Source organism: Homo sapiens, chromosome 10 (assembly GCF_000001405.40).
Source record: "Homo sapiens chromosome 10, GRCh38.p14 Primary Assembly".
Classification (NCBI taxonomy): Eukaryota; Metazoa; Chordata; class Mammalia; order Primates; family Hominidae; genus Homo; species Homo sapiens.
The window spans coordinates 97,114,197-97,127,460 of record NC_000010.11 but is presented as its reverse complement, the minus strand read 5'-3'; the positions used below and the strand labels follow the sequence as shown (position 1 = coordinate 97,127,460).

Here is a 13,264-nt window from a genome sequence, read left to right as displayed (position 1 = left end):
TCCTTGCATCTGGTAGGTACTGCATAGACATTGTCCTAACTTAACGGACAGCATAGGGCTGGAAGAGCCCTTTTCTCTTTTAAGCTATAAGGCTTGGCTGATGAGTCTGATTGGTTTGGATACTTTACAGAAATGTCAGACTGGAAACCAACTTCAAAACCTTTTTTTTTTTTTTGAGACGGAGTCTCGCTCTGTCGCCCAGGCTGGAGTGCAATGGCGTGATCTCGGCTCACTGCAAACTCTGCCTCCCAGGTTCACGCCATTCTCCTGCCTCAGTAGCTGGGATTACAGGCGCCCGCCACCATGCCCGGCTAATTTTTTTTGTTTTTTTTTTAGTAGAGACGGGGTTTCACCATGTTAGCCAGGATGGTCTCGATCTCCTGCCCTTGTGATCCACCCGCCTCAGCCTCCCAAAGTGCTGGGATTACAGGCATGAGCCACCGTGCCCAGCCTTCAAAACCTTTAAAGCCTGAGAATGGCGTAGATGGGAGGAGTGTTTGGCCGTATGTTGTATCTGGAAAAAGGTGAATTCTGTGCATGCTCAGGGAGATGAGAAGGGCAGGAAGTGCCAGGCGAGGGTCACAGGTCTTGGCTTGAGCCTTGGCTCTGTCTCTTGTTGCTGTGAGTCTTGAGCAAGTCACACCCATACATGGGACTGAGGGGCTTCCTCTGGAAAGTTCTTCCAGATCTAACAGCCTGTGAGCTCTCAGGACCTGCCCGAGACCAGCCACTCATTCATGTATTCCACAAATGTTTGCTGAGTGCCCAGCTAGGCATCAGTGAGGTTGGGGAATGCCTCCTGCCCCAGCTGTAAGGTGGAGCTTATGGGCTGGTGTTGGAATCTGTCAGTCAACAAGAAAACCCTTGTGCATCCCTCAGACCTGCTCTTTGAGAGCCAGTCTCTGGTCTTGAAGTTGGTTCATCAGGTAAAATGTATCAGTGAAGAAGTCTGGTTCCTGGGAAGCAAGGTGGTGATGAGTCTTTAAAAGCCTCATCTCCACCATCCTGAACCTCTCAGGAAAAGGCCATTTTGGACTCTGCCACTTTTGGTGGCTCCTGAAACTCCTCTGGGGATGAATGTGGTGTGTTACTCTAAAAAGCAGTGGGCGCTGCATCCGATTCATTGTTCACCCCGTGGGGTCTTCGTCTCTAAGAGACACCCATGTCCCACGTGTCCCATGTGCACGTTCACGTCTGTTACAGTTTATAGCCCTCTCTCATATCAGCTACATCAAATGTTCACACAACCAAGGTGCTTTCTGTGTAAGCGAAACAGAACCTTCACATCGGAAAGTTATTAAAAATCTAATACCTAGTTTAAAAAATTAAATAAGACGGAGACATATAAAATGAAAATAAGTCTCTGTCCTATTCCAGATCTCGACGTCCCCTTCCCAGAGACAGCTACTAAAATAGCTTCATGTGGAGGCTTCCTGAAATGTTCTCTGCATATGAAAACACAGATATTCTCTCTCTCTTTCTTCAGAATGGGAGCTTACCTGTTTATTTTCCTCCTGTAGAGCTAAGAGACCACTGTATATCAGCACATATACAGCTGGTGTTCCTGTTCTTAGCACCACAGACTCAGACTCTTGTTTTTTTTGTTTTTTTTTGTTTTTGTTTTGAGACAGTCTCACTCTGTCGCCCAGGCTGGAGCTCAGTGGTGCGATCTCAGCTCACCGAAACCTCTGCCTCCTGGTTTCAAATGATTCTCCTTCCTCAGCCTCCCGAGTAGCTGGGATTACAGGCATGCACCACCAAGCCCATCTAATTTTTGTATTTTCAGTAGAGACAGGGTTTCGCTATGTTGGCCAGGCTGGTCTCTAACTCCTGACCTCAGGTGATCCGCCCGCCTCAGCCTCCCAAAGTGCTGGGATTACAGGCATGAGCCACTGCGCCCGGCCTACTTTTTTTTTTTTTTTTTTTTGACACAGGGTCTCGCTTTGTCACCCAGGCTGGAGTGCAGTGGTGTGATCTTGGCTCACTGTAACCTCCTCCTCCTGAGCTCAAGCGATTCTCCCATCTCAGCCTCCTGAGTAGGGTACCACAGGCGTGCACCACCAGGCCTGGCTAATTTTTGTATTTTTTGTACAGACAGGATTTCTGCCATGTTGCCCAGGCTCACACAGTCTTATTATGTGTATTTCATGGAGGGACATTACATTGTTTTCAGTCTTATAAACATTGTTACAAGGAAACGTCCTTGTTTGTCTGACTCTGTGTTCTCATATGGCAAGATCAGTAGGACCCACTCCTAGAAATGGAGGTGGTAAGTCAAAGAAAAGATGCATTTTACATTATGATGCCTATTGCCTAGTTGCTGTTTAGAAAAGCTGTTCCATCTTCACAGTATACAAGAAGCTCTGTTTCTCCACACCTCCAGTATTGAACATTCTTGACATTTTTCACTTTGCCAGTTTGATGGGCTGAAATACATCTTGTTTTAACTTGTATTTATTTAATTATGAGTGTGGTTAAGCATCCCATTTTAATGCTTTTAAGGCCATTTGTGTTCCTTTTCTGTTAAACTACCTGTTTGAATCCTTTGCCTATTTCTCTATTCCATCTTCATTTTATTAAGAGTACACTGAAGCTCAGAAAGGTTAAGCAACGTACGTTGGGTCGCACAGCGGGTAAGTGGCAGAGCTGAGACTAGAACCTAATTTTCCCTCTCCTGGTTTAGTGATTCTTCTAATGTCCATGCTGCTTCTCTGTCCAAGGGCTGGACTAGGTATACCTAGTGCTCCTGGGTGGGGAAGGGACCCCATTCTGTGTATTCCCAAGGGTCCCATTGGCCCTGAGTGGAACATGGGGGTACCTTCAAGACTGTCTGCAAAGCTCAGCCCTCTCAGGCTGGAATTGATTCTTAAAGTGCTTCTAAGTCTTGTCTCCCCCTGGGAAGCCGGGTGCGCACCCCAGTGTACATTTGCTCCTAGGTGGTTAGAGGTTTACCCTGCAGCCTCCGCAGAGGAGATCCAGCTGGCATTATTGTTTGTACCCATGAATTATTGATAAGGCATGAAATGGCCTCAACCTTGGAATAGCAAAGCTCGAGGGAGGGCAGCTACCGTGCTGAGGAGGAGCATGGAGCTGACAGACCCCCCTCCCTGGGGCCCAACCTTCTCTGGGCTAAAGAACACTTTTGAATGTCCAAAGGCTTCATAGTCTTCCTCTCCCCTGCCCTGCCAGGTTTTGGTTGGATTTTGAGCATGTGTCATTTAAGAAAATGTGCAGGGACAAGAGCTACCTTGAATTTCCTACCATTTTTCATATTTAGATTGTTTAAAAATTTATAAGGTTATGCATACTCATGATAAAATTCAAATATCCCAGAGCTGTATCATGCAGAAAGTGAACTCCTGTGTGGTCTCACCCCCGAGGCTTCCGCTGCATAATGCTGTTAAGTGGGTTTGTTTTTCACTCATCCCCTGAGCCTACATACATGTGAAGAGAGTACTGTTTATTCAGGCAACACTGTCTGATGGAGGGATTTGAGGACTCCTTGGAACACATCCTACTCCACGTGATGGCTGGTCCCTCTGCTTGAGAGCTGAGGCTTTGTGGCTTTGCCGTGGACCCTTGTTCTTGTGTTTCAGTTGCCAGCTGTTGAATCTTGTGACTGGGTCACTGCACTATGTTTCTACTCTGTCTCCAGTTTTTTTTTTTTTTTTCAGACAGAGTCTCACCCTGTCGCCTAGGCTGGAGTGCAGTGATGCAATCTGAGCTCACTGCAACCTCCGCCTCCGAGGTTCAAGTGATTCTCCTGCCTCAGCCTCTCGAGTAGCTGGGATTACAGGCGCCTGCCACCATGCCCAGCTAATTTTTGTATTTTTAGTAGAGACGGTGTTTTGACATGTTGGCCAGGCTGGTCTCAAAGTGATCTTGACCTCAAGTGATCCACCTGCCTCAGCCTCCCAAAGTGCTGGGATTACAGGCTTGAGCCACTGTCTCCAAATTTGCCTGTCTCCAAATTTGCCTAGCATTGGGCTTGTTCTGAAATTGTTTGAGGACGGTTCAGACATTCTGGAGGAAAGGAATGGCCCAGTCTCCCCATGCATAGCATTATTTGCCAAATGAAGGGAGGTTGCTCTACTTCTTCTCTTGCTAGATGGCTTACAATTTTACATTCCACAGGAATTTTGAAGGAATCTATTGTTTTGCAAAACTGTGGCGTGCTGATAAAAGGTGTCAGATTTTTAGGGAAAAGCTACTTGACATGTGTGACTTTTTGGCAATCCCTTTAGGGAAGGCCGGGCATTGACTTCAGAAGATCACGTCTTTGGGAAGAGCATGACAAGATCTGTGACGTGCGGCAACTGTCACTGCAGTTCCCTAAGCCTCAGTTTCTTCATCTGTAAAGTGGGGATGGTAATAGCATCTCTGTTTTGGGGATATTGGTTGGGTTCTTTGAAGGGTGTTTGAAGGCCCCCTGTGCAGGGCTGGCCTCCACAAACATTAGCCCCTTTTCCTTCCTGGATAAATGACATCTGTTGATGAGGACAAGTTGAGGGGCCTGGAGATGCTGGAGGGGATGAGCCTCAAGGTAGAGACAGGTGAAATAGACAGGTGAAATATAGAGCTGCTGAGCAGGTGAGGCACAAACTTGGAGTCTGTCTGAAGAACTCAGAGAAGAAGCAGCTCTAGGACGGACTTTCTAAGCCAGATCTAGTTTGCTGGCACTGGCAAGCAGCTTCTGGACAAGGAGCTCCCAGGAAGCATCACTGGCATTTGGCAAACATTTGTTGAATGAATACAAGGGCTGCCCTGATGCTCTCTGAGCTCCTCTCAGATGTGCCTTCCTCACACTCCACTCTGGGCTTGTACACATTGTTCTCTTGGCCCGGAGTATGTACCTCCCTGGACAGATGCACATGCACTTGTGTAACACACTCACACACACTCACATACACATCATCCAGGCCATGTCTGTCATCCTCCGGGTCTCAGCTGAAACACCACTTACCCAGCAAGGCTTCCCTCCTCACCTCGTGGGCTGGATGGGGTTCCTCTGCCACCTGCTCTCGACACCGTGGCTTCACCTTTTCGTAACAGGAGTCTGTTTCCCTTGGAGAGCTGGGGTGCACATCTGTGTTCCCTGTGTCTGCAATACCCAGCATGGCCCTTGCTATCTATTAGATATTCAGTAAATGTTTGTTGAATGAATGAGGCAAGAATCATCTTCCCTTCTGATTATTGTTTACTTGAAAACAGGGTTTCAGTTGCCTACAATGGAGTTGTGGGAACCTGTTGGTACTCATCTCAAGACATGGGAGACCCCATCTTCCATGTTGCTGGAATCCTTATCTCTGTAGCAGCCTCCCTCTCAGAAATGTAGTTGGCTCTGTCCTCACGAGGGAGCTGGAGAAGTAGACACTGGAGTCAGAATGTCTGGCTTCAAGTCGAGGTTCTGTAACTTACTAACTGGATGACTGCGGGCAGTGGCTCAATCTTTCTACACCTTGTTCTCCCATCTGTAAAATGTGTTTGTTAATTCCTGTGTTACTTGCCTGATAAGATTTTATGGATTAAATGAGATAATCCAGGAATATATTATAGCAATGATCAGGTAGCGCGTGCTCAATAAGTAGAATTTGTTCTTGCCGTTAAGCCATATGTGTCCATCCTGTCAAGAATGTGGCATCGGTAAAGCAATGGGGTTGAGCGGGACTATAGCTGATGAGGCAGGAATGGGCAGATGAAATGGAGCCAAGGTAAGAACTACACGTCTGAGAGGTCCTGCAGAGGAAGGCAGGAGGGAAATTGGATGTAGCAAGAAGGCAAGGGGTGGGCTTGCAGAATCACGCTGCACTTAGCCCGAGGGTTTTCTGGTGTGTGATTAGGACTTGGGTTCGGATCTTGGCTCCGCTACTTGACATGATGCATTATTTTGGGTGAGTTACTTCATCTCTCTGAGCCTCAGTTTCCTAATCTGTAAATAGGTTAATAATGGTGACCTCGCAGAATTACTGAAGGCTTAAATAAGAGACTGTATGAACGGCACTTCCACAGGCCCTGGTGCATAGTCGGGGTGCATTTGTGTTTAAGAAGGGAAAGCTGGTGGGGCTCTGCACATGTTTGAAGGGATGGCAGCTCTAAGAGCAGAGTAGACAGATCAGCTCGTCCTGGTGAGAGATTTCCCAAGTCTGCAGAAGGGAGGGGGTAAGCCGACTGCCTTCAGCGTGGCTTCTCAGGGTGACACCACTTATTGTGTAATTATGGAACAATGTGCATAAAAGTGAAAATGTGGGTCCAGATGGCAGGCCTTCCATGCTGTTGAGAGGCAGAGCTAATGAACTTAACAAATCACTGATAATTAATTTTCAGAAGCCAAAGGAAACTGGGGAGCAATGAATAGGTCTACAGAAGGAGAGAATGCAAAGTAGTGCCAACTGTCAGCCTGGAGAGAGGTGTGAGATGCTGGCACTTCCAGGCCAGGGAGACCGTCTTGACATCTAATAGTTTTGGTGGGACAGAACCGGGAGAGAGAAGGCGGTCCAGGTAATATAGTAATAGTCATGACAATATTAGCCAAGCTTGAATGAACCCTTCTATGTGGCAGGAACCATTGTAAGCATTTTATTTGGATCGGCTCTCATTTCAGGCAGCTTCTCCCGTAGGGTAGGGAGAGAGAGTCAGAGTCCAGTGGGTGATAGGGGCCTTTGTCTTACTACCATGGAGCAATGAGGCAAAGTGATGAGAATAGCTAATATTTACTGAGCACTTGCTGTGTGCCAAGCACTGTGCTGAACTCTTCCGGAGGTGTCGGCCGCTTAGCATCATCAACATCCTAGGAGGAGGCACAGAGAGGGTGGGTGACTTAGCCTGCACCCTCAGCAGGATGCAAAGCCTGTGAAAATGTGGAGCCAGGAAGGACTGCGCCGCCGCTCAGAGCCGCCCGTGCACACGGTGTGAAGCAGCATTGCGAGTCAGGAAACTGCGTTTCGGCTCCAGTACCCCGACACAAGTCCTTGAGCCTGCCCGGAGTTTTGTTTCTTTAACTGTGAAATGGGAGCAGTGGATTTGAATCAGGAGGACACACACTTTTCAGACAACAGTCCTGTGTATTCAAGTAAATCTCACAGGGCACCGGAGATGTAAAGCAGACATTGGAAAGGAGGGTGGGGTCTGCTCACTTGCGGCCCCTCCTTTCTCACAGAGCCCCAAAGCCATTTGGGTCTCATTTGGGCAGCTGGGGATGAGCTCAGCAGTCACAGGGAAGTGGCTGTGGGGAGCGGGCCTGGCACACTGTCTTCTTGCCCAACCCTGGGCTGAATCTGACCCTGCACCTTACTAGCTGTGCAGTCCTAGGCAACTAGTTTAACCTCTCTGAGTCCTGTTTTGCTAAACTGTAAAATGGAGCTAAAACTTCTTTGGGTATTCATAAGGATTAAATGTCATAATGTTGTAAAACTCTTAGCTCTATGGATGGTGCCCAATAAAGGCTCAACTAGAAGGTAACTGACAGATAAATGTTTGTTAAATGGATAAGTACTTTTGAATCTATATACATATACATATATATATATATATATATATATATATATATACCCCTTTGGAAAAAAAATATGTATTTCCTCCTAAACTTTCAAGACTAAGTGAGGAAGAATTGGAAGCCCCAGGAAGATGGGCCAATCTGCCAACATTGGGCATATTTGCTCCAGGTGAGAACGAAGGGACTGATCTAGCTGATGGGGTGAAATGTTTGAGTCCCTTTGTCTTCCTCGCTGGCTGCCAACACAGAGTGGGCGTCCACCGGGACCCTCCCCACCGCTGCTGAGCCACCTCCTGCCTGTCTCTGGGGGTCAGATGCAAAGCCAGGGAGGATGGGTGAACCCAAGGCGCCGTCTCCTGAGTCCTCCCAGACCCTCCCGATGACCTCCTCGCACCGCCCCGTCGCAACCCACCTTCTGTTCACGGCCCATCAGCTGGCTTTCTCCCTGACTGCGCTCGGATTTGAGCCATTGTGAATTCATGTTTCCAGATTAATTAGCAAGGCCCCATGTCAGATGCTAACTGGAACCCAGATGTCTGCTTGGTTCCTGCATCAAATCATTTTGTCCCTGTAATTGAAGAACACGGAGGCAGCAGCCAGGCTGGCCAGACCCACTAGCTTCCCCCGCCCCTTTCCATTAAAAGAGAAATAAACCCACTTCCCACCTGGGAGGATCGGGGAAGGGGGATCTGCCCACCATTTCTGTGCCAGCCAATAGGATGGCGATGAGTTGACCCCTGACCTTCCTGTGAGGGTGGGGTTCCCTGAGGAGTTTCCCATGGGTTTACAGGAAGGTAAGAGGGGTGGTGAGGACGGAGAATTCTTCCTAATTTTGACTTTAGCCAGACACCCGTTTCCCAAGCTAGAACACTGCCCCTCCAGGGGAACACAAGAGACCCCAGGCAGTGCCTGCCTGAATGGCCCATCGCTGCTGGGCTGCGTGGAAACTTCCAGCTTCGGGGTCACGTTGTGCATGCCTGAGTGAAACAGACATGTCAGAGCAGGGATGTATTTCCGTTTCTCTCCAAGCCATATGTTGTGCATGTGTGTGTATGCCTTTTGTTTTTTAGCTATAATTTATTGGGCACTTACTATATCCCAGTCGTCATGGCTAACATTTTATATGTACTGTCTCATTTAATCCCCACAGCAATCCTATAAGAGAGGATTCTTTTATCCCCATTTTTTCTGGTGAGGAAATTATGTATAGTTCAGAGAGGTTAAGTAACTTGCCCAAGGTTACGTGGCTAGTGTGTGACAGAGTTGGGTTTGAATCATTCGGTATGTCTTTTAAGTGGAAGCAGCAGTTACAGGAAAGATGAGCCATGTTTCCTTCCCCCTTAATAATGTGTGTTCTCCTGGGCAGAAGAGGTGAGAACAGGTTTGGTCATACCTTCGCCTTTTCTATTGAAGGTCAGAACCTGCGACGGCCATTTTGGAGATAGAGGAGCGCTTTGATGGGTGGCACAGAAGATGCCAAGGGAGGCCAAGAGATGCATGGGCTGGAGTCTGGAGTGTGCCCGAAGCCTGCAGAAAGCCCTTAAAAGTGGGGAGTGGGCTCTAACTCCATGGCTAGGTCAGTGCCCCAAGTCCTGCTGCGCCAAGAAGTGGAGGACAAAGTCCTGAAGGCCCTGAGTTCTTTGGGAAGTTCATGGGCATCCCAAAACTGAGGGTTCAAACCCAGCTCCAGCTTACGCAGCCTGTGACCTCGGGCTGCTCGTGTCACCTTTTTGAGTCTCAATTTCCCCATCAGCAAAATGGGCCTAAAACCTTCTTATACCATATAGTCCTTGTAAAGCTGCACTGAGTATTATGTGATATTCAGGCCCTCAGGAAATGTGAGCGTACTGTGATGGGGCCAGACACCTCAGAACGTCTCAATTTAATAAAGTAGAATCTTAAATAGTAAATGCAAAGATTTGGAATAGCCATGCTCAAACACTAGAGAATGAGGAAGCTGTTTATTAAAAAATGTAGATTTCAGAGCCTTACCCCTGACCTTCTTATTGAGAATCTGAGGCTGGAACCAGAACTCTGCATTTTGACAGATCCCCCTGGGGTTTCTGAAATGTATTCATTGAGCTTTCATTCTGAGACACATTTACAGAACATTCAAATATAAGAGCCGGCAGTGACTTCAGAGGTCTTTTAGGCCCCTCCATTCACAGAGAAGGAACTCAGGTTGTAACTCGGAAATGAGTTGTCCTCAGGGAGAGCCAGAAGTGGATCTTAGTTCACTGATTTTTCAAAATAGTTGCTGGTAACTGAGTGACTTGCATGTGCGTCACTTGCATGGCCCAAGCCTCATGGACTTTTTCAGACTCAGCAACCGAAGAGATTATTTATATACTCTCAAATTCTACCCTTCCAATTTACCCCTGGTACACTGTCACCAGGTGGCAGTAGTATGCTATAGAGCCTCAAGGGTTGTTCCTGGAAATCCACACCCTTGTGGATTTATAACCTTGAATAGTCATATTCCTTTTTTTAGTTGTTAACATGAAGACAAACACCTTTATTATGCTAGCTAAATGCAAGCAAACATCAAGCAAATATCGACATGGAGAGTATGTTTGGAGCAAATTTTCCAAGCAAATAAGTTATTAGAGACAGGAAGCTATCTTTCCTTATAATTATTTAATAGACGTTGTTCTTAGTCCTTCATCTCCCTGTAATTTTTTTTAATTTACCTGCTTTGCTCTTTGGACACCCACTTCACATGCTTTATTCTCAGATCTTTCAGGGTTGGGCTCCTTGATGTCAGAACTCATGTCCCTGGAACTTCTCTTCATGTCAAGTGTTTTTCTAAGTCTCTGCTCGTAGAAACACAGAGAAAAAATTGCTTTTTTTTCTGATTTCATTTTCTCCTCTCTCTATGAAGCAAGGTATTGGCATGTCTCTGCCACCCACTGTAGTTAGGGATGGGGAGGGAGGGAGAGAAAACAGTGTTGGGTACTGACTGTGGACCAAGTTCCAAGCCATATGCTTTCCTGTTACCTCACAACAGTGGGCAGCAGAGTGTGTTGTCATTTCACAGACAGGTAACAAGCTGACGGGTGGAAGGAGGGGGTGGGCAGGAGTGAATCCCAGGTCTTTGGAGCTCCAGAGCCCATCCGTCCTCTCGTTTCCATGGTGGGCTGGGGATGGAGGGGATGTGGGCTGCCAGATGCTCCCCACTCCTACAGAGGAAGCCCAGATGCTCTGGGGTGAGGACCAGGCCTGGTGACAGGCTCTCCCACCCCCAGCCTGCACCAGAGAGGAGGCAGGAACACCTGGGCCCCTCTCCCTGGGGAGCCCGACTGCATGGCAGCTGCTTCGCTGGCATTCTTGAGAGTGTTAATTGGGCAGGATGCCCAGCCCCCAGCCCCACTGCCTCCTGAAATGAGCTGGACCAGGGACAGAAACCCCACTGCTCACCAGGCATAGAGGAGACAGGATGGGCTCCTGGTCAGCAGCTCAGGGAGGAGGCCCAGGATGCCGGGCTAGACCTGTGGGTAGGGGGTGCTCCTCATCAGCAGCCTCCACTCTTCCCTCCTCTGGGGAAGCTGGGAAAGCAGTGTTGACCCCAGGGCTCCGGACAGGCCCTAAGGAGGAAGAACCTGGAATCCTTGCAGTGGGCTTCGGCTAGCTCAGGAGATGGTCTTCTCTAGCTGGAGGGAGGAGGTGAAGTGGGGTGGGGATGAATTATTTGAATTATTATTTCTCTCTCTCTTCCTTCTCTTTCTCCTCTCCTACTGCTGCCTCCTCCTCCTCTTCCTCCTTCCTCATCATAATGAAGACTTATTCAGTACCTGTCTGACCCAGGCTGCCACCAGGACTCTCCATATATTATTTCATTCTCATCTTTCAACAGCCCGTGAAATGTATTTTGTTGATTCTACTTTTACATTAAGCTCAGAGAGGTCAGGCAACTTGCCCAAGGTCACACAGCAGGTGAACTGGCACAACCAAGGCTTGGATGAAGGTTTCACTCCAGAGCCTGTGCTCTGTCAACTCGGCCCCCTGCTTCTCATACTCTGCCCATCAAGGACAGAGCACTTTGATCTTATGGGAAGGTTCCCTTTATCCCTGGTACCCCAGTCCTCCTGGGAGGAGTCTATGTTTTCTTTGTTTTCAAAAGACTTGGAATCTGACACAGGCTTCCTTTCTGAGCCTTGGCTCCTCAGAAGGAAGGGCAGAGAAACACCATTTTCACAGTACAGTGAGAAGGCCGGGTGGCTCATAGGTGGCGACTGGATTTCTAGAGAAGGACCCAGGATGCCCAGGTGCCCAGTGCTGCAGTTGCTGTTGAGCCTCCCCTCAGCAATGACCCAGTGACAGAAAGATAGGAGGGACTCAGGGGTCAGGATGCCCAGGGCTCTTCCAGGCCTGGAAGACCTGGTCAGTGAGAGCCATCAGGGAGCTGAGGGCTGCTGGGAACACCTTTCTCAGACTGTGGTGCCTGGCTCCAGGCTTCTCATCTCCAGAGAACATTTGCAAACTTACAGGCACCCAGAATTGGCCCCCGGACCTGTGAGGGGTCAGTGAAGAAACTGGAGAGGTTTCAGGTCTCCAGAGCTGCTGAGAGGATTTGAAAGCATGGATGTGGGCCATGGGGATGAGTGGGCTTACTCTCTGTTCTCCAGAAGAAGCAGGATAAGTACCAGCAGGAAGGTCTCAGGGCAATTCCAAGGAATAGCAGGCTGGGAGTGGATGTTGAGCCTCAAGCATTAGTGAGCTCTCTGGCCCTGGGCGAGGTCAAGCAGAGCCCAGGTGGGCAATCTCTAAACCAACCTTACGGGGAAGCCAGGAAGGGGCCCCTGCACTGGGCCAGCCTTCAAACTACATGATCCAAATGTTTCCTTGAAGCTCACATGGCCTCTGATGTCGCAATGGGAAAGACCCTTTTGTGCTCTGCCAGGTCACTGCTATTTGCTGAGCATCTACTCTGACACCAGGCACTGATGGTGAACAAGACAGACAGCAGAGACTGTCATGGGTAATGGCAGGAATCGTCACAACAGCATGAGGTGCCATTTATCATGTGCTAAGGGTTTTCCATCATTATCTTATGGAATCCTCTCAACAACTTTATGAGGCTGGAATTATTATTATCCCCATTGTCATAGAGGAGAAAACTGAAATTCAGAGTAGCCAAGAATTTGCCCAACATCACACAGCTAGTGAGCGCTTGGATTTTTATTTTTATTTTTTGATTTGAGAAGGCTAGGGAGACGAGCTTCCTTAGGACTCTTCCTTGAGCTAAGGGATGACCCTAAGTATCCAGGTAGATGACTCCATCACCTACTTTGGACTTTTTATTTTTCTGTCTGAGACAGGGTCTCACTTTGTCACCAGGCTGGAGTGCAGTGGTGCAGTCATGGCTCACTGCAGCCTCAACCTCTTGGGCTCAACTGATCCTCCCACCTCAGGCTCCAGAGTAGCTGGGACTCTGGGACTACAAGTGTGCATCACCACACCCAATTAATTAAAAAATTTTTGTTGCCCAGGCTGGTCTTGTTTCCTAGGCTAGTCTTGAACTCCTGGCCTCAAATGATCCTCCTGCCTTGGCCTCCCAAAGTGCTGGGATTATAGGTGTGATCTGCTGCACCCAGCCTGTACTTTTGATCTTACTAGGAAGACTTCAGAATGTGCAATAATTCCCTCTGCTGTTTCTATGTTCACTTGGGCTCCCTTTCCACCGGCTGGCCTCCCTTAGGCAGGCCCCAGAGTGGGAGTCGGTGCTTCTGAGAGGACTCAGGGCCTCCGTGGCTGCTCCATGTTGAACCTAAG

The 13,264-nt window shown here is 48.4% G+C and overlaps 1 protein-coding gene across 1 annotated transcript in view; it reads left to right on the top strand.

The window, feature by feature from the left end:
* Positions 1–13,264, top strand: part of SLIT1 (slit guidance ligand 1) — a 187,922-nt gene that overhangs the window by 58,499 nt on the left and 116,159 nt on the right. The gene's annotated exons all lie outside the window — the stretch shown is intronic.